Source organism: Homo sapiens, chromosome 1, assembly GCF_000001405.40.
Source record: "Homo sapiens chromosome 1, GRCh38.p14 Primary Assembly".
In the NCBI taxonomy this organism is placed as follows: domain Eukaryota; kingdom Metazoa; phylum Chordata; class Mammalia; order Primates; family Hominidae; genus Homo; species Homo sapiens.
This window is the reverse complement of record NC_000001.11, coordinates 1,553,722-1,577,742: the sequence shown is the minus strand read 5'-3', so window position 1 is coordinate 1,577,742 and position 24,021 is coordinate 1,553,722. Positions and strand designations below refer to the sequence as shown.

Genomic DNA, 24,021 nt, shown 5'->3' with positions numbered 1-24,021 from the left:
AGGTCAAGGGTCGCCTACAGGACTGGGCTGAGCCGCCCTCAGCCCCTCCTTGGCCTTGCTCCCATGCTTGTGAGCACTCAAAGTCCAGAGCGGGCCGAGGCAGCAAGGGGCTGGCATGCTAGCACTGCCCTCAGTGTGTGCACACCTGGCTGGGTTGCAACAGCGCCTGGGCTTGGCTTCAGCTTTGTCGGGAGTCAGGAGAGGCCAGGTAGCAGCTGGAGGCACTTCTGAGCTTTCGGGGGCAGGTGGGGTGGCTTCCCAGCCCTGGGATTGCAGGGATACCTGGGTCCACAGCCGTGGCTGGGCAGATGCAGCTGCTCCCAGGAGGGTGGGGCTCCTGTCCTGCCAACTTGGAAGGGGGCAGGGCTCCCACATGCTCAGTGGAGCACAGAGTCCCAGCTGAGCCTCCCCTGCTGTAGCCAGCATCTTCCCAGCAGCCACTCAAGAGAGGCTGCCACTGCCATCAATGGTATAACTGACATTTCACAATCAATAGCTTCTGCTGGTAACTTCACAAAAACCTGACCTAAGAGATCTTTAGTACCTATTGGTTAAATAAGGTATTAAATAAGTATGTCAATACTATATGCTGTATGTGGGTAAATTCCTCTGGAACACTGAGATCCATTTACACACAGAAAGAAAACAGGCACATGGTTACAAGTCTCGTGTAATTTCTATGGCCATTTTATTTATTCAATTGGCTTCCTTTAATCTCTATTTTTCTATTTTTGTTTTCTAATTTTTTTCTTTTTAATTGCTTTCCTTTAAGCCTAGGTTCATGGGTCAAAACCAATATGCAAACTGGGATAGTCATATTATTATTGATTTTACCTTGTATTTTCCCCTTTTAAACTTATTCATTGCCATATTTTGCAAAAGGACAATTTCTTTTTTTTTATTTTTTTGAGATGGAATCTCACTCTGTTGCCAGGGTGAACTGCATAGGCACAATCTCAGCTCATAGCAACCTCCGCCTCCTGGGTTTAGGTGATTCTCCTGCCTCAGCCTCCTGAGTAGCTGGGACTACAAGTGCGCACCACTACATCCGGCTAACTTTTGTATTTGTAGTGGAGACAGGGTTTCACCATGTCGGCCAGGATGGTCTCGATCTCTTGACCTCGTGTTCCACCCGCCTCGGCCTCCCAAAGTGCTGGGATTACGGACGTGAGCCACCGCGCCCGGCTACAAGTACAATTTCTAACAGAATAATGCTGACACAGCACTTTGAGATGATAGAAAGACTACAGAAGTGACAAAAGTTGAAGTTAATAATGGACTCCAGGTTAGACTTAGCCTGAGAGCCACACCCTTCAAACCTCCTTTGATGCTCAAATATGGTAAAAAAGGGTTTTGACAATGACTCCCAGCAGCCACTCTCTCCAGTGTGGGACCAGACCAGCTATCTGGGACAAGTTCATCCCAGCACGGGGACTATCAAAACCTAATTACAGGATGACTCATTAGTGATGCATTTGGAGAAAGATCTCAATCAAAAGGGGAAAATACCCAAGTTGTCAAATAAAAGTGGACTCACTTATGTTTAAAAAATACCTTGACAAAGACAGCTGGGAAAGGCCATGGAGAATTCTCATGAATCAATAATAAGAAAAACTATCACAAGATTCTGCAAAAACCACAACCTTGCACTAAGGCAATCTTACACAAAAAATACTTCAGCAAGGACAGCTGCCCAGCAACTGCCTGTCCAACCCTGGAACGGGAGTACACTTGTTTTTTTTTTTTTTTAGACGGAGTCTGGCTCTGTCGCCCAGGCTGGAGGGCAGTGGCGCGATCTCGGCTCACTACAAGCTCCGCCTCCCGGGTTCACGCCATTCTCCTGCCTCAGCCTCCCGAGTAGCTGGGACTACAGGCGCCCGCCACCACGCCCGGCTAATTTTTTGTATTTTTAGTAGAGACGGGGTTTCACCGGGTTAGGCAGGACGGTCTGGATCTCCCGACCTCGTGATCCGCCCGCCTCGGCCTCCCAAAGTGCTGGGATTACAGGCGTGAGCCACCGCGCCCGGCCGGGAGTACACTTGTTACTGTTCTTTGTAGCCAAGGTTAATTATTTCCAAACCATTATCTTCCTCTTCATTTTTTCTTTAAAAACCATTACTTTCCTGAATGCGCAAATCGTTTACTATGGCACGCATATTCGCCAACGCCCTATTCCCAAATAAATATCATTTTCAGTTAGCCTGTTATTAGGTTGACAATCATTATCACTCCCTCTCCCGTCCGTGGCGCTCCCACGGCAAAACATCAGCCCACTGTCCACCGCGAGGCTGCATCCAGGCAGACAGGCATAGCTGGGGAATGACACACTCGCGTTGACTGGATTTACTGTAACTGGACCCAAATCTCAGACCAGCCGGCGGCCTCTCCAAGGAAGCCCGAGGCGAGGAAGATCCTAGTCGACGTGCACTCCCAACCAGGTCTGTCACAGGTCGGCCCTCGCATTTAAACGTTAAATGTTGAAGGGCTTTCATAAAAGAGCGATGTGCTCCTGCTTGTATGAGCCGGGGCCGGAGGCCGGTAACAGCGGCACGGGACGGGAGCGAGCCTCAGAATGCGGGAATGTCTGTGGGCCTCCGGGACAGTGGAGGGAGCGGGTCTAGTGAAGCGCGACGACTCTGGGGTGGCAGAAGTGAGGACTATGGGCCCCACGGGGACCGAGGGAACGCACAAAATCGTCCCAAGAGACGAAACGCCGGGCCGCGGAAGGGCCCTCAATGCTATCTCCGGCAAGCGCGGCGTTTCGCATCGCTCCCAAAGGCGGCGGCGACACCTTATGACGTCCTGTTGTTCCGCACGTCGTCGCGTCACACTAGGCGCCGGCGCGGGGTGCTGATGTCAGGACGCCGCCGCTTGGCGCCGTGACGCTCAGCCGGGCCTTGTGGAGTGCGGGTCTCTGCTGCGGACGCCGGGGGCCGGCGCGGCGTTGGCCGCCCCCGGCCTCGCCGAGTGCAGCGCGCCCGAAGGCCAGTGCCTGCGCTCCGTCCGCGGCCCGGCGCCCAGGGTGGGCGGGGAGGCCGCCGCGCAGTCGCCGCACGCTACACCGCCGGCGCCGTCGTTTCGCGTCGCCCGCTTCCGGCCACCGCGGCCGCCATTTTGTTCGCGCGGAAGCGCCGCGGTAGGGTGGGAACCCAAGCGGGAGAGCCGCGGGATTTGCGGCCGCCGCCATGCCGTCGTCCCCGCTGCGGGTGGCGGTGGTGTGCTCGAGCAACCAGAACCGGAGCATGGAGGCGCACAACATCCTCAGGTAGTTGGGCTCCACCCTGTCCCCGCGCGCTCTGCTCCGGCGACCGGCCCTCCCTCCTCCCCGGTTCCCCCTGGCCCGCGCCAGGACCCCTGAGAGGAAGCCGGGCCGGGCCGCGCTCGTGGGTCGGCTGGTTGGGATGGCAGCTGGACGGCAGCGCGCGTAGTCCACACGCGGGTGGGCATCACAGGGAAGGCAGGTTCCGGGACGAGGCGCCCGCTGTCCGGTGGTCCTTCGAGCTCTCCGAGGCCGGGCCCGGGGGGCGAGGGTAGCGTCCGCGGCGAGGGGCTGCGCGGCGGCGGCCGATCATGGTATTTCGTGTGCGTCGTTGGCCACCTTCCCTGGAAACGGCGCGCAACACAATCACGGCATACCACGATGTTGTAAATAACAAAGCGGTCTCTTTTTTTAATGCCATGGATTTGTGTGTTTGCTACTTCTTCTTCTTTTTTTTTTTTTGCGAAAGATCCTCTCTTCCTCCCTGGAACGCCTCCAACCGGTAGTTTCTGGAATACAACGTGGACTTGGTTTGGCTCTGCTAGTTTATATTCCCTGCTAACTGGCCGCCTGTGACTCTTGCGTAGCGTATGTCTAATGAAAGTTTATTCCTGCTTGATAACAAGTTTTTTGTTCAGTCACATAGCAAACTGAGAAACTGACCACTTGACTTACAGTTAAAATTTGGTATGTGTCAACTTTGATAGTAAGAAAGTTGAAATGGCTTTTTTACCTCCAAAGTTACCTACGTGAACTTTAAATGAAAACAGTGTTTCGCTTCTCTTCTCGCAGTCCAGCTATAACTTTCCTGAGCAACTTGGGAAAATTAACAGTCCCCCTTTTTTTTCCGTTTTTAACAGTGTCACGTGGGCCAGGCACGGTGGCTCACGCGTGTAGTCCCCGCACTTTGGGAGGCCGACGCACGCGGATCACCTGAAGTCAGGAGTTGGAGACCAAAAAACACCCCCCAAAAATCAGTGTCAAGTGTTCATGATCTGCTGATTCTTTCTCTTTATTCTTTTCTTTCTTTTTTTTTTTTTTTTTTTTTTTTTTTGAGACAGAGTCTTGCTCTGTCGCCCAAACTGGAGTGCAGTAGCGCGATCTCGGCTCACTGCAACTTGTGCCTCCCGAGATCGAGCTATTCTCCTGCCTCAGCCTCCCGAGTAGCTGGGACTACAGGCACCGGCCACCAGGCACGGCTAATTTTTTTTTTTTTTTGTATTTTTAGTAGAGACGGAGTTTCATCATCTTAGCCAGGATGGTCTTGATCTTATGACCTCGTGATCTGCCCGCTCGGCCTCCCAAAGTGCTGGGATTACAGGCGTGAGCCACTGCGCCCGGCTTTTTTTGTATTTTTAGTAGAGACGGAGCTTCACCATGCTGGCCAGGCTAATCTCAAACTCCTGACCTCAGGTGATCTGCCCGCCTCGGCCTCCCAAAGTGCTGGGATTACAGGCGTCAGCCACCGCATCCGGCCAAAGGTTGTTTTTAAAACTAGAAATGTGCTAGAATTACATTGTGCTGGATCTTCATTTATAAACTGCAGTTACCTGTAAAAATTTGATACATTTAAGCAAAACAATGCAAGGCTCACCCCCCCCCCCCCAAGACAAAATTATTGTTAATTGGAATAACAAATGGGCTGGAGACCTTCTGGTTCTGCTGGTTCTCCTTGGTGATCCTTTGTTCAAGATTTTCTGCTGTACCTGCATAACAAAGATGGAGTAGGCCGGGCGCAGTGGCTCACACCTGTAATCCTAGCACCTTGGGAGGCCGAGATGGGCGGATCACAAAGTCAGGAGATTGAGACTATCCTGGCTAACACGATGAAACCCCGTCTCTACTGAAAATACAAAAAAATTAGCCGGGCGTGGTGGCGGGCGCCTGCAGTCCCAGTTACTCGGGAGGCTGAGGCAGGAGAATGGCATGAACCCAGGAGGCGGAGCTTGCATTGAGCCGAGATCATGCCACTGCACTCCAGCCTGGGCGACAGAGCAAGACTCCATCTCAAATAAATACATAAATAAAATAAAGTTGGAGTAGAATATATATTTTTTTTCTTGAGGGGGAGTCTGTAGCCCAGGCTGGAGTGCAGTGGTGCTATCTCAGCTCACTGCAAGCTCCGCCTCCTGGGTTCACACTATTCTCCTGCCTCAGCCTCCTGAGTAGCTGGGACTACAGGCGCCCGCCACCACGCCCGGCTAATTTTTTTGTATTTTTAGTAGAGACGGGGTTTCACCATGTTAGCCAGGATGGTCTCGATCTCCTGACCTCGTGATCCGCCTGCGTGGGCCTCCCAAAGTGCTGGGATTATAGGCGTGAGCTACTGCGCCTGGCAAGATGGAGTAGAAATCTTAACAAAAGGAAATGTTTTAAAAATTCTATTTAGGGCTGGGCGCGGTGGCTCACGCCTGTAATCCCAGCACTTTGGGAGGCCGAGGCAGGTGGATCACGAGGTCAGGAGATCGAGACCATCTTGGCTAACATGGTGAAACCCCGTCTCTACAAAAAATACAAAAAAATGACCCCGGCATAGTGACGGGCGCCTGTAGTCCCAGCTGCTCAGGAGGCTGAGGCAGGAGAATGGCGTGAACCCGGGAAGCAGGAAGCAGAGCTTGCAGTGAGCTGAGATCCGGCCACTGCACTCCAGCCTGGGTGACAGAGCGAGACTCTGTCTCAAAAAAAAAAATTATTTAGCTATCTTGTTAATAAAATCAGGTTTAGCGGCTACTTTAAAGACATGCCAGTCATAACCTCGCTGAGACGATGACTGAAGATGACCAAGTCCTTTTTAGTTCAGAGTGGCCAGTGGCCGTTGCTGGCAGAGCTGTGGTCTCTGGAAAAGGAGCGGAGAGCACCTCTGAATAATGAATTCTTGGGTGTGCTTTTACCTGTGCCGCCATCATTCAAATTTACTCATAAAAGAGTAGACTCAGAAGAGAGTCAAAAGGAAGTAAATTTAAGGTGACATCTATTATGGATATCATGAATATGGATATCATGAAGTTAATTTAGACATAGACCTTCAATTTCCTTTTTTTTTTTTTTTGTTGAAGTCGGAGTCTCCCTCTGTCGCCCAGGCTGGAGTGCAATGACACGATCTTGGCTCACTGCAACCTCTGCATCCCAGGTTGAAGCGATTCTCCTTCAAACCCTCCGAGTAGCTGGGACTACAGGCGCCTGCCACCACTCCCAGCTAACTTTTTTTTTTTTTTTTTTTTTTTTTTTTTTTTTTTTTTGAGATGGAGTCTCACTCTGTCGCCCAGGCTGGAGTGCAGTGGCGCGATTTCAGCTCACTGCAACCTCCGCCTCCCGGGTTCATGCCATTCTCCTGCCTCAGCCTCCTGAGTAACTGGGACTACAGGCACCCGCTACCACGCCCGGCTAATTTTTGGTGCTTTTAGTAGAGTCAGGGTTTCACCGTGTTGGCCAGATGGCCTCGATCTCCTGACCTCGTGATCCGCCCGCCTCGGCCTCCCAAAGTGCTGGGATTACAGGCGTGAGCCACCGCGCCCGGCCAAATTTTTTGTATTTTTAGTAGAGATGGGGTTTGACTGTGTTGGCCAGGGTGGTCTCGATCTCCTGACCTCGTGATCTGCCCGCCTTGGCCTCCCAAAGTGCTGGGATTACAGGCGTGAGCCACCACGCCCAGCCTGCTTGTTGCAGAAATTCTTACTGTAGAAAATGAAAGTGGTCTCTCAGAGGTACCATTTTGGTGTCCGTCTGTCTCCATGTGTTCACGCATGCATCGGGGATAAGCTCTTGTTCTGTTGTCTGCTCCATAGTTAGTATTCACATCATTAGTTTCCTTTTTTTGCCACGAGATGGCTTATTTTCATTATTCATACAAATAATTTTCTATAATACCCCAGTCAAACGGGAGAATTTGGCAGTCCGATTTTGGGGTGGGGGGGGTCCCTGCAGAGACTCACAGACTGGTGGCATTGGCGCTGAGTGCCCAGGTTCACAGCACAGCTTGTGGCTTGTGTCCATCTTGCATGTGGCTCTTCCTCCATGTCATGACTGGGGTCTCGGGGGTAACGGGCAGGAAATCCTTCAGACTCTTAGGAAATTTCACTCCACTTCTCCTGGCCTCTGGTCGGCAGGGTGTTCTTCCATGTCTCGGTTTTCTAGCTTGGCCTTATTGAAGTTGGAATTTATGTCTGTTGTCATTTTCCCTTTTTTTTTTGTTTTTTTTTTCAAGCCAGAGTAAGGCTGGAGTGCAGTGGCGTGATCATAGCTCACCACTTCACCCTTGAATATCTGGGCTAAAACGATCCTCCTGCCTCAGCGCCCCAAAGCATTTGGATTACAGGTGTGAGGCACCGCACCCAGAGCATTTTTGCTTTTGAAAATTACCTGTTTATGTCCTTTGTCTATTGATTTGGGTTTATTTAGAGAGTTTTAATACTCAGAAACTCTGTGTGATAGTGCTTTTCTGTTACACTGGGAAAGCTTGTGAAAGTCAGATTTAGAGAGTCTTTTAGGCGTTAAAAATGATGTGAAAAGCGTAGGAAATGCTTATGGTAAGTGAAAAAAGCAGGAAAATTGTATGCAGTTGGGTAGGGCTACATAAAACTGCACAGGAAAGCTGAAATAAAATTGTCAGAAGGAATTGTAGTTAACTGAGCAGGCACAGTAGCTAGCTGATCAGTGAACCTCGCCCCTTTTAAAAATTTTGGGCCTGGCAAGGTGGCTCTTCGGCCTATAGTCCAGCACTTTGGGAGGCTGAGGGAGGAGGATTGCTTGAGCCCAGGAGTTTGAGCCCTGGGCAACACAGTGAGACCCGCTATCATTACAAAACATTTTAAAACTTAGCCACATGTGGTTGCACATGCCTGTCATTCTGGCTGCTTGGGAGACGGGGCAGCAAGATCACTTGAGCCCAAGAGGTTGAGGCTGTGGTGAGCTATGACTGTGAGCTGTGACTGCGCCACTGAACTCCTGGCTGGACGACAAACCAAGTCTCTGTCTCTAAAAACAGACACAGTAACAATTTCACCCTATTGAAAATCAGCGTGGACTCTATTTTCCTGATAAATCCAAGTGATAGTAAGTGTCGACATGTTAGCGTTCTCTGGGGTGATCATCTTTGGTGTTAGAGACTAAATTGTTTCAAATACCAGAGTCCTGGGAGTCCTCATGTTTCAGGGCAGCGCCAGAAGACTCCGCCGTACGTTTCCACAGAGCCTCCTGCGCTTGGTGCTCCAAGGATTAAAGTGTCCCCTTGGAACCAGTTAGGTTTTTTGTTTGTTTGTTTTGTGGCTTTTTGTTTTTGTTTTTTTGTTTTTTTCTTTTATTTTATTTTTTGAGACGGAGTCTCATTCTGTCGCCCAGGCTGGAGTGCAGTGGCAAGATCTCGGCTCACTGCAGCCTCTGCCTCCCGAGTTCAAGCGATTCTCCTGCCTCAGCCTCCTGCGTAGCTGGGACTACAGACATGCACCACCATGTCCAGCTAATTTTTTTGTATTTTTAGTAGAGACGGGGTTTCACCATGTTGGCCAGGCTGGTCTCAACCTCCTGACCTCAGGTGATCTGCCTGCCTTGGCTTCCCAAAGTGCTGGGATTACAGGCGTGAGCCACCGTGCCTGGCCTTATTTATTTATTTATTTTTACAGACAGGGTCTTACTGTGTTGCCCAGGCTGGTATTGAACTCCTGGCCTCCCAAGTAGCTGGGATTACAGGCATGAGCCACCACGCCTGGCTAGTTTTGTATTTTTAGTAGAGACGGGGTTTCTCCATGTTGGTCAGGCTAGTCTCAAACTCCCGACCTCAAGTGATCCGTCCTCCTCCGCCTCCCAAAGTGTTGGGATTACAGGCGTGAGCCACCATGCCCCGCCTGATGGCTTCTTTATGATAGTTTTTTGGAGTTTTTTTGAGACAGAGTCTCACTTTGTCACCCAGGCGGGAGTGCAGTGGCACCATCACGGGGCCCACTGCGACCTCCACCTCCCGGGTTCAAGCGATTCTCCAGCCTCAGCCTCCGGAGTAACTGGGATTACAGGCGCGCACCACCACGCCTGGCTTTTTTTATTTTTTTATTTTTTTTTTAAAGTAGAGACGGGGTTTTGTCATGTTGGCCAGGCTGGTCTCAAACTCCTGAGCTGAAGTGATCCACCTGCTTGGTCTCCCAAAGTGCTGGGATTACAAGCCCTCTGATAGATTTTTGGTACTTGTAAAGACAGTTGTTTGGCATACCAGACAAATACTTGTCTGGAAGATTAGTTTACAAAGGCGTTGGCCCTTCAGGCGAAGCCTGTTGGTGTCAGGAGTGTTTTCCAAGCTGTCCTTGCTTTTATGTAAGAAACGCTGTTGAGTCGCAAGCTGGCTGCCCTGTCGGTTGCATCAGTTTGGGAGAAATACTGCTTCTGTTGCTAAATAGCCTTTTTGCCATTCGTGAACCTTTTGTTGGGGGAAAAACAAACTGCATTTTGTTTTTAAATAGGCTAACTTAAAGGAACGTCCAGCAGGTGGTGAGTTCTTGTTGGTGTTGGGAGGCAGGCTGTCTCCTTTGGCTGCTGTGATCACGCTGATCCTGGGCTTCTTTGTGCGATTTTTTTTTTTTTTTTTGAAACAGAGTATCGCTCTGTTTCCCAGGCTGGAGTGCAATGGCGCGATCTCGGCTCACTGCAACCTCCGCTTCCGGGGTTCACGCAATTCTCCTGCCTCAGCCTCCCGAATAGCTGGGATTACAGGCGTGTGCCACCATGACTAATTTTTGTATTTTTAGTAGAGATAGGGTTTCACCATGTTGGCCAGGCTGTTGTCGAACTCCTGACCTCAAGTGAGCCACCGCGTCCGGCCCTTGTTTGTGCTTTGACGGAACATATTTTATTGTATGTTGTCTGAATTGGTAAGGAAGTCATTTTAGGCTTGTTGTTTCTCACGTGTGCTCCCTGTGGTATGCCTTGTGTCTGGGCCTCCGTCACCCTCTCAGTCACAACCAACAGTTGACTTTATTGCTTTAACCTCATGTTTCCGTCAGGATCTGTGGTTATGACTGAATGTCAGGAATTTTAATTTTAGCATTTTCACGTTTATTTCACAGTCCGGGTGCCGTGAACACGGGTTTGTAGTCATGAATCGCTGCTATTGTGCCACATTTCTGGCCGTGTGTGGTAGATGTTTGGAGAGCCGGGTTGTGTAGCTCGGAATATCTAGGGATGTAAGGACTGACGCAGCTGTCATCAGCCTCAGGGGACTCAGGTGTTTCACGTACACTAGATGAGCACATCTTCTCTGTGTGTGTGGGTGACGTGTGTGGTGGCGCAGCAGGGTGCCCTTGGGCTCTTTTGCTTCCTCTACTCATCTTCGGAGGTGCGCGTGGAGCCGCATGGCCTGTCCTGCCCCATGGATGGATTATTCTACTTGTCTGTTCTTTTGTGGCTGTGGAAGGCCGGCAGTGGGCATCCTGCAGGCAGCCATGTTGCAGAGGCACGTGTATGTCCGTAGGGCGGGTTTCTAGAAGCCAGTGTCTGTGAGAAAGGCACAGGTAGTTTTCACTTGCTGGGTGTTGCCCCATTATCCGCATAGAGACTGGTTACACTCCAGCAGCCCCCTCTGCCTGAGTTTTTCCTCTCTTGTGACACTGTTACTCATTCAACATTCAGTAATTTTTTTTTTTTTTTGAGACAGGGTCTCGCTCTTGTCGCCCAGGCTGGAGTGCAGTGGCGCGATCTCAGCTCACTGCAACCTCTGCCTCCCGGATTCAAGTCATTCTCCTGCCTCAGCCTCCCGAGTAGCTGGGACTATAAAAGCGCCCGCCGCCTCGCCCGCCTAATTTTTTGTATTTTTAGTAGAGATGGGGTTTCACCATGTTAGCCAGGCTGGTCTTGATCTCCTGACCTCATGATCTGCCCACCTCGGCCTCCCAAATTGCTGGAACTACAGGCGTGAGCCACCGCACCCGGCCTTACTTTTCTTTTTTTAAAATAATATGGAACTCCTCACGTGTCTGTGTGTCATTCTTGCTCAAGAGCGAAGCAGCAGCACTTTTCTGAACAAGAATGACAGGCCTGTAAGAGGAGTTTAGTGTTAATGGAAGTGTATGTGCGCCCTGCGCCCTGAGCCAGGCAGATTCCTTCAGATGCAAACCTTTTGTGATTTATAAATAAAGCTAGGTTGAGAAGTCTATATTTTTTAGGTAATTATAAGTATCAGTTGTGACTTTACAAGAACACATGTTCTATACCAAAGTAACTTTTTTTGTTGTTTTTTTGGGACAGAGTCTCGCTCTTTTGCCCAGGCTGGAGTGCAGTGGTGAGATCTCCAATGTCTGCAACTTGTGCCTGCTGGGTTCAAGCGATTCTCATGCTTCAGCCTCCCAAGTAGCTGGGATTACAGGCACGCACCACCATGCCCAGCTAATTTTTTTTTTTTTTTTAGTAGAAACGGAGCTGGGGTTTCGCCTCCTGGCCAGGCTAGTCTGAAACTCCCAGCCTCAGGTGATCCATTTGTCTCGGCCTCCCAAAGTGCCTGGATTGAAGGTGTGAGCCACCGCACTCGGTGCCAAAGTAACTTTTTTACATGTAACTTGTTGTGACAAACTTAAGTGTGCTTGTCAGCGATGACAGAAGAATTTTCTGGTCTTACCACACTCCATCAGTGTTTGGAGACGACCTCTCTTTCTCCTTGCGTGAACTAGAGCTCATTGGTGGCACATGACACACGTTTCCTGTTCAGCTCTTTTCTCCAGTTGATTAGGAAAAGTATTTGGTCAGTTTCCTCACCTGTGACTAGGAAGTCCAAGGAACAAGCACCGTCGGACCCATCGCGGCATCTGTTCTCTGCCTGCAGCAACCCTGAGCCTGTGGGACTCCTTTGGGTGTTGGGTCTCGGTTCCCATGGAGCCACATCGTGGGGGTGTTGGGAAACTGGGGGAGACAGAGTTTCCTGTGGTGGAGCGGGCAGTTGGACCTTTGTGAGTCCCTTAGGAATCCTGTGAACTTGGATCCTCCAAAGCCAGGACGTTGGTCGATGGCCAAAATGTTCTGATGAAATCTTCCCCAAGTCCACATCAGTCAGTCCTTTCAGTTTAAAGTAAAGCCTTAAACAAGCTATGATGTTCAGATGTGGCTTTGTGATGGTCAGTTCTGGTTTGATTGCTTTTGTGTAACTTGCTACAGCCTGTCGCCCAGGCTGGAGTGCAGTGGTGCTATCTCTGCTCACTGCAAGCTCCGCCTCCCGGGTTCACGCCATTCTCCTGCCTCAGCCTCCCGAGTAGCTGGGACTACAGGTGCCCGCCACCGCGCCCGGCTAATTTTTTGTATTTTTAGTAGAGACGGGTTTTCACCGTGTTAGCCAGGATGGTCTTGATCTCCTGCCTTCATGATCCGCCTGCCTTCATGATCCGCCTGCCTTCATGATCCGCCTGCCTTGGCCTCCCAAAGTGCTGGGATTACAGGCGCGAGCCACCATGCCCGGCCTAGATTAAAAATTTGAAGACATATTCTCTACTATGAGCCAATGAAATTACTCATTTTGTTTCTATCCCATTTGCTGTCCCTTGCTTTTGGAATTTTGTGTCTTAGTGTGACTGTGATTCTTTCTCTCCTTTTGTCTTTCAGCAAACGGGGATTCAGCGTCCGATCCTTTGGAACAGGGACTCACGTGAAGCTTCCAGGACCAGCTCCCGACAAGCCCAATGTTTATGATTTCAAAACCACATATGACCAGATGTACAATGATCTTCTTAGGAAAGACAAAGAACTGTATCCCAGCGGGTTGCCCTTTAAAAACCCCCCGTGTGGTCCTCCCTGGAAGGTGTTACGTGTGGCTCGGGCACAGGAGGCGTGTCACCCTGTGCAGTGCACACACTGGCTCCTCTGTCTTTGCGAGAGCTTGGTTTCTATTCCTGGTGCACGTCGGATCGTCCACGGGTTAGTTCCAGTGCCACCCATGGCAGTAGGCGTGGTGAGGCGCACAGACACGGTGTGGGGTTCACCCTGACGTGGTTCAGCAGAGGGTCGTGACATAGCGTAGACCAGGGATGCTTAGGTGAGGAGGTGGAACCCACAAAATCCCATTGCTTTTCACACTGCAGGGCTGCCCCGTTATTTCCTTTGCAGGTTGGTGTGCGTGCGTGTGTGCGTGCGTGCCTGATACACATGGAGCCGGGCTGCTTCACACATCTGGTGAGGTCGTTAGAAGGTCAGATAAAGAAGAGGGCGGAGCTTGCTAACCAAGCTGTTAGAAGAAATAATGGGAGAGAACATTCCTTCATTTCAGGAGGACACAGAGCAGGCTAGGTCTGCCGCGAAGACTCCTATAGAGAGAAGAGTATTCTTAAACTAGATTCTGATGGACGCAACACCAGTTGCATAATGGTTATGACAATCAGTGCCCGGGTTTTTGACCAGGCATTTCATGGTCACCCCCACGCTAATGGAAAGTTTCTGGATCTTATTTTGTTATAGTGAGTGATTTGTAGTTTTCAGAACGGAGGCCAGGCCAAACGTATTCCAAATGAAAAGAGAATAGGTGTCAAATGCTAAACCTTTTATCTTCGTGTTGGCACTGTTGCCATCCCCGCCCTCTCCCGACATCCCCGCCCTTGACCAGCATCTCTGGCCTTGCCCAGCATTGTCTATGTATTGGCACTCTTGCCATCCCCGCCCTTTCCCAGCAGAGTCTCACTGTGTCACCCCGGCTGGAGTGCAGTGGCGAGATCTTGGCTCACTGCAGACTCACTGCAACATCCACCTCCCGGGTTCCAGTGATTCTCCTGCTTCAGCCTCCTGGGTAGCTGGGATTACAGGCACGCGCCACCACACCTGGCTAATTTTTGTATTTTTAGTAGTCACAGGGTTTCACCATGTTGGCCAGGCTGGTCTTAAACTCCTGACTTCAGGTGATCCACCCTCCTCGTCCTCCCAAAGTGCTGGGATTACAGGCGTGAGCCACCATGCTCAGCCCTACTCTTGTATTTTTTTTTTTTTTTTTTTTTGAGATGGAGTCAGAGTCTCACCCTGTTGCCCAAGGTGGAGTGTAGCGGCTTGATCTCAGCTCACTGCAACCTCCCCCTCCCAAGTTCAAGCGATTCTCTGCCTCAGCCTCCCGAATAGCTGGGATTACAGGCATCCGCTGTCATGCCTGGCTAATTTTTGTATTTTTAGTAGAGACGGGGGTTTCACCATCTTGACCAAACTGGTCTTGAACTCTTGACCTCGTGATCCAGCTGCCTCGGCCTCTCAGAGTGTTGGGATTACAGGCGTGAGCCACCATGCCTGGCCTCTTGGAATATTTAATAAGCTAAAAAATTCTTATACACAGGTAGATTAATTAGGTAGCCAGGAGTGGCCCCTGAAAGTATGTCTGGCAAAACCTAGAACTGCATCCTAGCCATCACTGTACCTTCTGCCCTCCCTGCTGTCTCCTCTGCCAGTTACAGTTAAAAGGTTGTGGGTGAGGACGCTGGGCAGAGTCCCAGGCGTCTGCTGTCAGCTCCCCAGCCCGGCCTGCCTGCCGAGCCATCTGGGCGTCCCACGGTGGAGAGTGTGGTGCTTGTGACGCGGTGGTGCTGGGAGCCATCCTGGTGGCAGATGTGGGCTCTCACTGCAAGTCAGTGTAAGTCCCCAGGGACTGTCAGCAGCACGTCCTGCTGCCCCTCTCTCTGCAGAAGCCCTGGTAACCTGCGTTTGGAAAAATCTCTAAGGATTTCTGAGGAGCTGTCAGGCCATGTCCTTGTCCACCCTGTGTGGGGCACGGCTTCGACATGGCTCTGCTCCCGTCGTGGGCTGAGAAGGAGCAGGTGGGGCTGTGCCTTGGAAAGGAGGCCCTCCCGACATGCCTTTGTGCGAGGTCCCTGTCCATGCTGTCTCCATCCCGGAGCCTTACGGCGATGGGTGGCCACAGAGCCTATTCCAAGAGTCTGGTTTAGGGCTGGGTCTTCCCATCTTCACCTCTGAGTCTTAGGCGATGCGTGACCACGCAGCCCCTTCCAGGAGTCTGGTTTAGGGCTGGGTCTTCCCATCTTCACCTCTGAGTCTTAGGCGGTGCATGACCACGCAGCCCCTTCCCGGAGTCTGGTTTAGGGCTGCGTGCTCAAGAGTCTGGTTTGGGGCTGGGTCTTCCCATCGCCCTGGAGGAGGCTTTTGTCTCATCTCATGATTCACATTAAACTCTGTGCCATGAAGCTTAGCCTGACATCCTGTTTTTGACAATTACTCTTCAGTTAGCACTGTTTATTTTTAAGTTCTTGTATATTCAGTAAGAGAAAGAAAAGCAGAGAGTGACGCACATCCTCACACTCCCTTGATTGGTGTAAGCTCAGCCCCTTCATGTCAGCCCACTGTGACCTCCTGGGTTCCAGACCTGGGAAGTACTTGCCACGTTCTGCAAGGACTGAGTCCAGCTTCAGCAGTCTCATCCGGAAGGACTTGGTATAGGCAGAGGATGAGCCTGTCTCTGGTCATTCTAAAAGAAGGAGCTGAGCCCAGTGTCCCAGAATTCGGAAGCTCCTCCTTTACAGAGGGACTGTAGGGGTTGGTGATCTCCCAGGAAGCATCGGCCCAGAAGAACCCCGCGTGCGTGTGTGTGCTCTTGGTGTGTGGTGGGGGGAAGGAGTGGCAGCAGGGGTGGCGCTGGGACACTGTCAGCCACGGGCTCTGCTTTGGGGACCTCGTGTGGGAAAGGCATTGCCTGTGGTGGCCCCTCAGGAGGCTCTAGGAGGAGCGTGCCTTCATTACCTTATTTCACTCGGGGGGCGTCTTTGCCCCCTAGGTGGGGGCAGAAGGTGCAGAATGGGAAGCCTGCCACTTAGCTAAAGCTCTTGCACATGATGCCCTTGGCCTGGAGAGGAGTGAAGTCCCCAGGCAGTTCCCTGTGGACACTGGCACGATGCCGGGTGGGGCCTCAGGGGTGTTGAGATGTGCAGGTCGGGAGGACCCCGATAACGTTTCCTGGTTAGTGATGGGTGCAGGGGGGCCGCGGGAAGTGACTGTTACAAGTGAGAGCCCGAAAGCAAATCTGCCCCACAGCAGCCGGTGCGTTGGCAGAAGTCATCGCCGTAAACTGCAGTGGAAGCAAGACGGGGTTCAAGATGCGGCCCAAAGATAAGACGCAGCACTTGGTCGAGTGTTCACAGCGTCAAGACAAAGGACGGGCCGGCGCGGTGACTCAGGCCTGTAATCCCAGCACTTTGGGAGGCCGAGGTGGGTGGATCATGAGGTCAGAAGTTAGAGACCAGCCTGGCCAACATAGTGAAACCCCATTTCTACTAAAAATACAAAAATTAGCCGGGCATGGTGGTGCACGCCTGTAGTCCCAGCTACTTGGGAGGCTGAGGCAGGAGAGTTGCTTGAACCTGGGAGGCAGAGCCTGCAGTGAGCCGAGATCGCGCTACGGCACTCCAGCCTGGGTGACAGAGTGAGACTCTGTCTCAAAAAAATAAAAAAGGAAGGACAGTGTGACTTGGGAGGAAAATGCTGCTTGTTCAGAGGCAGGGCCGGGGTCGAGGGGGACCCCACCACTGCCATCTGCCTACTTGCCATGTGGCCAGGGCTTAGGTTTCTCTGTGCATGCCCACCTCGCAGAATTTCTGATAATTAAATAAATTAGGACATGCACACACTGAGCCCGAGACAGTGTTTTAAAGCCTTCAATAAATTTTGGCCAGTTGTCCTATTAGTATTGAAATACTTAATTTATTATTATTATTTTTTTAGATATGGGTCTTGCTGTGTTATCCAGGTTTGTCTCGAACTCCTGGCCTCAAGTGATCCTCACATGTTGGCCTTCCAGAGTACTTGGATTAGAGGCGTGAGCCACTATTCTCAGCTTTCATTTCTTAAATACAAAATCTCCTTGACTTTCTGTGAGGTTGCCTGCTGGTAACCCCATGCTAAAGTGAAAAAATCCTGCATTGAGCCATAATAAGTTAGAGACTGTATTTGGCTCTAGATGGCTGATTTTGGTCTTTTCCCCCACAAGCCAGAAGTGAGCCTGAGGGGTTGAGGGACTTGCTGCCTGTGCCTCTGAAACCTCCCTTGGGGATTGTCAGGGTACGAGTCTAGGTTTGCAGCACTGGGATGCGAGCCTTCGGTAAAGTTAGACGAGCCACGCCTGCAGTTCCAGCCTGGGGAGACCGAGGCAGGAGGCTCAGTTGAGCCCAGGAGCCGGAGGCCAGCCTGGGCAGCATAGCAAGCCTCTATCTCTACAAAAAACACACAGATGTGGTGGGTGTGGTGGCACAGCTACTCGGGAAGCTGAGGCAGGAGGCTTCACTGAGCTGTGATTGCGCCATTGTGCTCCAGCCTGAGGAAGAGAACAAGACTCTTGTTAAAAAAGTTTCATCCACATTTTCTTTTGGGAATTAATAGTATACATACATGGGGCTGGATGCAGTGGCTCACACCTGTAATCCCAATACTGGGAGACCGAGGCAGGTGGATCACCCGAGTTGAGTTTGAGACCAACCTGGCCAACAGGGTAAAACCCTGTCTCTACTAAAAGTACAAAACGCTAGGCATGGTGGCACATGCCTGTAATCCCAGCACTTTGGGAGGCCGAGGTGGGCGGATCACCCAAGGTCGAGAGTTTGGGAGCAGCCTGACCAAAATGGAGAAACCCCCGTCTCTACTAAAAATAAAAAATTAGCCGGCCATCGTGGTGCATGCCTGATCCTAGCTACTCATGAGGCTGAGGCAGGAGAATCACTTGAACCTGGGAGATGGAGGTTGCCGTGAGCCGAAGTTGCACCATTGCACTCCAGCCTGGGCAACCAGAATGAAACTGTCTCCAAAAATAAAATACAAAAAGTAGCTGGGTGTGGTGGCGTGTGCCTGTAATCCCAGCTGCTCAGGTGGCTGAGGCGGGAGGGTCACTTGAACCCAGGAGGCAGAGGCTGCAGCGAGCTGAGATTGTGCTGTTGGACTCCAGCCAGGGTAGTAATAATAGTAGTAGTGTATATACCTGGACCAGGGACGGGGATCTAAGCTCCCCTGACCTTTGTAGACAAATGGGAACTCTACTGTGTAGGTTCTTTCCTTGGGTGGACTGACCGTTTTATCAAGAATTGTTTTTATTGAGATAAAATGTACAAATCATGCACTTCCCTGAGTCGCGTGTCCAGTTCTGTGGGTTTCAGGACATTCATGGAGTTGCAGCCGTCACCACAATTGGTTTTGAGACGCTTTTCGTCTCCCAAGGCCGTTTGCTGCTGCCCATTCTCCTCCCAGTGCCTGTAGCAGCTTCCCGTGCTACAGGTCCGCCCGTTCCACACCGTCCAGTTTAGCTGCTTCCCGTGCTACAGGTCTGCTCATTCCACACTGTCCAGTTCATATGCAGCCTTTTGTTCTTTCGCTGAGCATGCGTGGAACTATTTCTAAGTCCCAGGTTTCTTTGCCATGACTTTTCCTCGCTCAGCCTCAGTGGCACGTGGAGTAGAGCAGCTTTGCGCTGGGTGTCCTGCCGAGGGGCTTGAGCCTGGCTCCCAGGGTCACGTGCAGAGGCTTCTCTATTTTTTTTCATTTTACACTGAAGCCACTTTCCATAGTTGAGCTTTCTTGCAGGATTTTTTCATTTTTGATTGAAAGGAGTCTGGTTAAGCCATCCCAAGCTTGCTTGGAGTGCCTTTGGGGAGAAGACAAGTGACTTCTGTTTCTAAGTTAGTGAATGGCCAGTCTGACCTAGTGAAGTGTCACTCAGCCCAGTGAGGGGGTCCAGGCAACAGCCGCTGGCCCAGAGGGTAGAGGAGGAGGGAGAGGCCGTTGTGAAAGGAGGGCTGGGGTGGCAGACACCGGCCTGGACAGTTCCCCCGCTCCAGGGAAGCCCATTCAGCCACATGAGAAGGTGTGTGGGAGTCTCACAGGATCCTACAGAAAGTTCATCCTGTGTACATGTAAGTTAGTGAAGGTTTACCAGCTTTTTGTGTTATGAACTGCAAAACCACTTGTCTTCAAAAGCAAGTAAACGTGTAGCTCTAAATGTTAATGTGACTGTTGTCCTGTGAAACGCAAGTGCATCTGACACTTTCCTGGGTCTCGTCTGGCCGTGCAGCTGGAGACCAAGCCTGTGTCTGGCATATACTGTTTGTACCTCTCTTGTGGATTTTTTTCTAATTACCTAATTTTTTCTAATGACGTTTGGGGTTTGGATTATTATTATTATTTGGTTTTGAGACAGGGCGTCTCTCTGTCGTGTGGGCTGCAATGCAGTGGTGCTGTCACAGCTCACTGCAGCCTGGGCATCCCAGACTCAGGTGGGTGATCCTGCCACGTCACCCTCCCCAGTAGCTGGGACCAGAGGCCTATGCCATGCCCAGCTTTTTTTTTTTTTTTTAATTGAGACAGAGTCTCACTCTGTTGCCCAGGCTGGAGTGCAATGGCACGATCTTGGCTCACTGCAACCTCCGACCCTGGGTTCAAGCGATTTTCCTGCCTCAGCCTCCCGAGTAGCTGGGATTTCAGGCATGTGCCACCACGCCTGGCTAATTTTTGTACTTTTAGTAGAGATGGGGTTTCACCATGTTGGCCAGGCTGGTCCTGACCTCATGTGATGAGCCCGCCTTGGCCTCCCAAAGCTCTGGGATTATAGGGGTTGCCACTGCACCTGGCCTGTGTTTTAAATTGCACATTTGTTCATGTCCGTCCTCTGAATTCATTGTCTTTTAGGTTAACTTCTGTGTGTGGCCACTTCCCTGTGGACATTTCCTTGTCTCAGAGTAAAATGTGGTAGACTTCTTTTTTGAGATGGAGTCTCAGTCTGTCACCCCTGCTGGAGTGCAATGGCGTGATCTCGGCTCACTGCAATCTTTGCCTCCCGGGTTCAAGCGATTCTCCTGCCTCAGCATCCTGAGTAGCTGGGATTACAGGTGCGGCGTACCACCACGCCTGGCTAATTTTGGTATTTTTAGTAGAGATGGGGTTTCACCACGTTGGCCAGACATGTCTCAAAACACCTGACCTCCGGTGAACCACCTGTTTTGGCCTTCCAAAGTTTTGAGATTACAGGTGTGAGCCGCTGTGTCCGGCCCCATATATATATATATGCTAATTCAGATGAATAGTATAGTTCCCAAAAAGGAAATGCTGATATGAAGCTTTATTTATTTATTTATTTATTTACTTTTTTGAGACAGAGTCTTGTTCTGTCGCCCAGGCTGGAGTGCAGTGGTGCAATCTCGGCTCACTGCAACCTCCGCCTCCCAGGTTCAAACGATTCTCCTGCCTCAGCCTCCTGAGTAGCTGGGATTATAGGCATGCACTGCCACACCCGGCTAATTTTTGTATTTTTAGTAGAGACAGGATTTCACTATGTTGGCCAAGCTGGTCTTGAACTGCTGACCTCAAGTGATTCACCCGCCTCGGCCACCCAAAGTCCTGGGATTACAGGTGTGAGCCACTGCGTCCCGCCCAGCAGCTGTGTTTTAAAATAGTTTTGGGAAGGTATTTGTCAAACAAATGAATGTGTTCCTAAGCCAGACGCCGATTCCCAGAGAAACTCTGATCGTGGGTTTTAGAAAATCATTCATGCCTAAAATGTAAATTACGGCCTTAAGATATTTCAGGTAAGGCCAGAGATACTGGCCTGCTCTTCTCATCTGAGATGACAGAGGTAGAACGGAGCTGACTGGCTGAGGTAGTTGCTGGTGGTCATTTGAGGGTCTGGACAGAATGCAGCTGTGCTGACTGTGCCTTCGTCTTCAAGAGGTAGCCCAGGGTCAGGGCCCACAAGCCTGTGAGTTTTCACCTAGTCTGCAGCAGGTGAGATGCTTTTGCAAAGTAGTTTCACGGTGCCTGCAGTCGCAAGGCCATGGTGGACCCCCCCAGAGCTGGCCTGAGCCTTGTGTGGCTCTGTGTTGAGGCCACGGTTACAGTTGGGTGCCCAGCAGCTCCAGAGATGGCCATGAGACCTTTTCGAGGGGTTCCTGAGTTCTGTTTGTGCAGCCTCTGTGCTTTGCCAAAAAAGCATTCGCTATCAAAATGAAATTTTTTTTTTTTTGAGACAAGAGTTTTGCTCTTTTTGCCCAGGCTGGAGTGCAATGGCGTGGTCTTGGCTCACTGCAAGCTCCACTTCCTGGGTTCAAGCGATTCTCCTGCCTCAGCCCCCGCAAGTAGCTGGGATTACGGGCGCCCCCCACCACGTCCGGCTAATTTTTTGTATTTTTAGTAGACATGGGTTTCACCTTGTTCAAGTGATTCTCCTGCCTCAGCTTCCCAAGTAGCTGGGACTACAGGCACGCCGCCACCACGCCTGGCTAATTCTTTGTATTTTTAATAGAGATGGAGTTTCACCGTGTTAGCCAGGATGGTCTCCATCTCCTGACCTTGTGATCCACCCGCCTTGGCCTCCCAAAGTGCTGGGATTATAGGCGTGAGCCACCGTGCCTGGCCAAACTTTGTGTATTTTTTGTAGAGATGGGGTTTTGCCATGTTGGCCAGGCTGGTCTCAAACTCCTGGCCTCAAGTGATCCACCCGCATTGGCCTCCCATAGTGCTGGGATTACAGGAGTGAGCCACCATGCCCAGCCTCAAAGTGAATTTATTTTTTCGAGACGGTCTCGCTCTGACTTTGATGCTGGAGTTCAGTGGTAACATCATAGCTCCCTGTAGCCTTATGTCCCTGGGCTCAATCCTCCCACCTCAGCCTCCTGAGTAGCTGGGACTCCAGCCATGAGCCACCCCACCTGGCCTGATTTTTTTATTTTTAGTAGAAATGAGGTTTCGCCCTGTTGCCCAGGCTGGTCTTGGATTCCTGAACTCAAGCAGTCTGCCTGCCTTGGCCTCCCAGAGTGCTGGGATTACAGGTGTCAGCCACTGTGCCCGGCCCAGATGTATTTCTTGATACGTTGACATGGAAGTGGTAGCTGGCAAGCTTGTGGCATAGTGTGGTGAGTGGATCCCAGTCCATCCCGGGAGCCCAGAGCATCGTGCTGTGCACAGCCGTGTCGGTGTCACCTGCTCTTCTCACCGTGCCCTTCTGAGTACGGAGCTGCCGTCCACGCTTGTGGCACACTCGGCTGTTCTTGTCACCCACATGCACGACACTCCCTCCAGACATGCCTGCCACAGCCGCCACCTGGCCCCTGCAGCACTGGTTCCTCCTTTCTTGGCCGAGGTGCCACTGCCCAGGCTGTTGGCATCTGGGTCAGAGCCCTGGGCAGTCACTGTGCTGAGCTGCAGCTCTGTCCTCGCTGGAGCGAGGCTCCCAGGAGCTCCACCAGCGCCGCCGAGGCTGTCTCATCCCCGCCATGCACCAGGAGCACAGATACCGGAGCCTCCTGTGTCGGTGCTTTGAGTTTTGCCATGGAAACGGATTGACCCAGCTCTAACCTGACCTTTGAGACCTCTGACCTCCCCTCTGATGTGGGGAGTCTTCTGTGTGTGTGGCAGGGGCATGGCTGTCAGGCTCTGCAGTGTTCCTGTGTGTCCCGTCACTCAGTTACCGGGACAATCTGGCCAATAAGGTGATAGCTGGCCCCCCTCGTGGGTGTGTCTGTCAGGGCAGCAGCACTTAGCATGCTCTGGGATGAGTCATACGTGCAGGGAAGATGGTGTGGCCTTCCGGGGAAGGACCAAGGCTTCCACGGAGCATCAACACCTTCAGGAGACTTGACGTCAAGGAAGTCTCTGCTGCCAGCCACGGTTTGCAAAGGAGAGGCTGAGGGCCAGGAGCTGAGGTGGTCGGGGGTACGTGGGGCTGGCGCCGGCAGCAGGGAACCCAGGATGGTGCTGGGCTGCCCAGGGCTGTTGCTTTCGTGGCTCCAGTGCCTGTGGCCAGCGTGCTGCACCTGACATGGCTTTTTCCCAGGCCGTGGTGGGAGAGTGCGGTCCCTGGTGCCAGCCACACTGGCGTGGCAGTGCCTGTGGGTTCCCTTTCAAGTCCCTGGTGACTCATAGCAGGGTAGTGTGGTCCTGGCCTCTCGGTTCTCCTGTGGGATGGGCAGCTGCGCTCATTCTAACTCCCCGGGATGTTCTGGTCCCACTAAGGCCCCTAGGGAGTGAAAAGAGAAAACCTTGGTAAGGAAAACCGAGCTGTGTTTGGGGCGTTTCCTGGTATGTCCTGGCACCTTGGGGCCCTGGGTGGTTTATCCTGAGAGCAACCACATCAAATGGGTGTGGGTGGTCAGCGAGGGCTCGTGGGGACCCCCAAATGGGCCGGATCCGCCTCATGCTCAGCTTCGTGGGGACCCCCGAGTGGTCCGGATCCGCCTCATGCTCAGCTTCGTGGGGACCCCCGAGTGGTCCGGATCCGTCTCGTGCTCAGCTTCGTGGGGGCCCCCGAGTGGTCCGGGTCCGCCTCATGCTCAGCTTCGTGGGGACCCCTTAGTGGTCCGGATCCGCCTCGTGCTCAGCTTCGTGGGGACCCCTTAGTGGTCCGGATCCGCCTCGTGCTCAGCTTCACTTTTTGCTGATGGTGAATCTCACAACCGCTCCACTCCCTGGAGCTGCACTTCCTCCTCGTTTCTCTTTAGAGGCCCTGGCCACTGACACGTGGTCTCCGTGGCCACCTGACGTCCCCCGGACCTGCTGAGTTCTCACCACTGACGTAGTCTGGTGGTCCCCAGGAGGATCCCTGCTTGAGACAGTCCATAGTGACCACTGGCCTCCTCTGGATGAGGTCTTTATCCTCCGTTTTTTTCAGTAGACAGTTCAGCTGCATTGTCAAGAGAATGTCACACTGGTGACATCCTTCAGATGCGGCCTGCTCCAGTTCGTCTGTCAGCCTGGGTGCCTTTTTTTTTTTTTTTTTGAGACGGAGTCTCGCTCTGCCACCCAGGCTGGAGGTGCAGTGGCGTGGTCTCGGCTCACCGCAAGCTCTG

General features: G+C 51.8%; 1 protein-coding gene and 1 long non-coding RNA gene across 2 annotated transcripts in view, besides 7 other annotated features; one reads left to right on the top strand and one right to left on the bottom strand.

The window, feature by feature from the left end:
- Positions 147 to 689: an enhancer, noted in NCBI's record as "H3K27ac-H3K4me1 hESC enhancer chr1:1512434-1512976 (GRCh37/hg19 assembly coordinates)". NCBI's record gives its function as "activates a minimal SCP1, AML or CMV promoter by ChIP-STARR-seq in naive H9 embryonic stem cells {active_cell/tissue: H9 hESC(naive)}" and the evidence as "EXISTENCE:reporter gene assay evidence [ECO:0000049][PMID:30033119]".
- SSU72-AS1 (SSU72 antisense RNA 1) lies at positions 672 to 2,796 on the bottom strand. The gene has a single exon (NR_197593.1). It is a non-coding gene; the product is annotated as an SSU72 antisense RNA 1 (long non-coding RNA).
- Positions 1,088 to 1,257: a silencer, noted in NCBI's record as "fragment chr1:1511866-1512035 (GRCh37/hg19 assembly coordinates)". NCBI's record gives its function as "represses an EF-1alpha promoter that drives an FKBP-Casp9 reporter gene in an ReSE screen in phorbol 12-myristate 13-acetate-treated (for megakaryocytic differentiation) K562 erythroleukemia cells {active_cell/tissue: K562(+PMA)}" and the evidence as "EXISTENCE:reporter gene assay evidence [ECO:0000049][PMID:32094911]".
- Positions 2,607 to 2,676: an enhancer, noted in NCBI's record as "active region_25". NCBI's record gives its function as "activates an Ori minimal core promoter by ATAC-STARR-seq in GM12878 lymphoblastoid cells {active_cell/tissue: GM12878}" and the evidence as "EXISTENCE:reporter gene assay evidence [ECO:0000049][PMID:35858748]".
- Positions 2,687 to 2,796: an enhancer, noted in NCBI's record as "active region_24". NCBI's record gives its function as "activates an Ori minimal core promoter by ATAC-STARR-seq in GM12878 lymphoblastoid cells {active_cell/tissue: GM12878}" and the evidence as "EXISTENCE:reporter gene assay evidence [ECO:0000049][PMID:35858748]".
- Positions 2,880 to 24,021, top strand: part of SSU72 (SSU72 homolog, RNA polymerase II CTD phosphatase) — a 33,191-nt gene continuing 12,049 nt past the window's right edge. The window contains exons 1-2 of the mRNA NM_014188.3: positions 2,880 to 3,265; positions 12,827 to 12,970. Coding sequence (NP_054907.1) covers positions 3,186 to 3,265; positions 12,827 to 12,970 — 224 coding nt within the window. The 5' untranslated portion in view covers positions 2,880 to 3,185. The remainder of the gene's footprint in view (positions 3,266 to 12,826; positions 12,971 to 24,021) is intronic.
- Positions 2,917 to 3,076: a silencer, noted in NCBI's record as "silent region_79". NCBI's record gives its function as "represses an Ori minimal core promoter by ATAC-STARR-seq in GM12878 lymphoblastoid cells {active_cell/tissue: GM12878}" and the evidence as "EXISTENCE:reporter gene assay evidence [ECO:0000049][PMID:35858748]".
- Positions 3,317 to 3,396: a silencer, noted in NCBI's record as "silent region_78". NCBI's record gives its function as "represses an Ori minimal core promoter by ATAC-STARR-seq in GM12878 lymphoblastoid cells {active_cell/tissue: GM12878}" and the evidence as "EXISTENCE:reporter gene assay evidence [ECO:0000049][PMID:35858748]".
- Positions 6,757 to 7,258: an enhancer, noted in NCBI's record as "H3K4me1 hESC enhancer chr1:1505865-1506366 (GRCh37/hg19 assembly coordinates)". NCBI's record gives its function as "activates a minimal SCP1, AML or CMV promoter by ChIP-STARR-seq in primed H9 embryonic stem cells {active_cell/tissue: H9 hESC(primed)}" and the evidence as "EXISTENCE:reporter gene assay evidence [ECO:0000049][PMID:30033119]".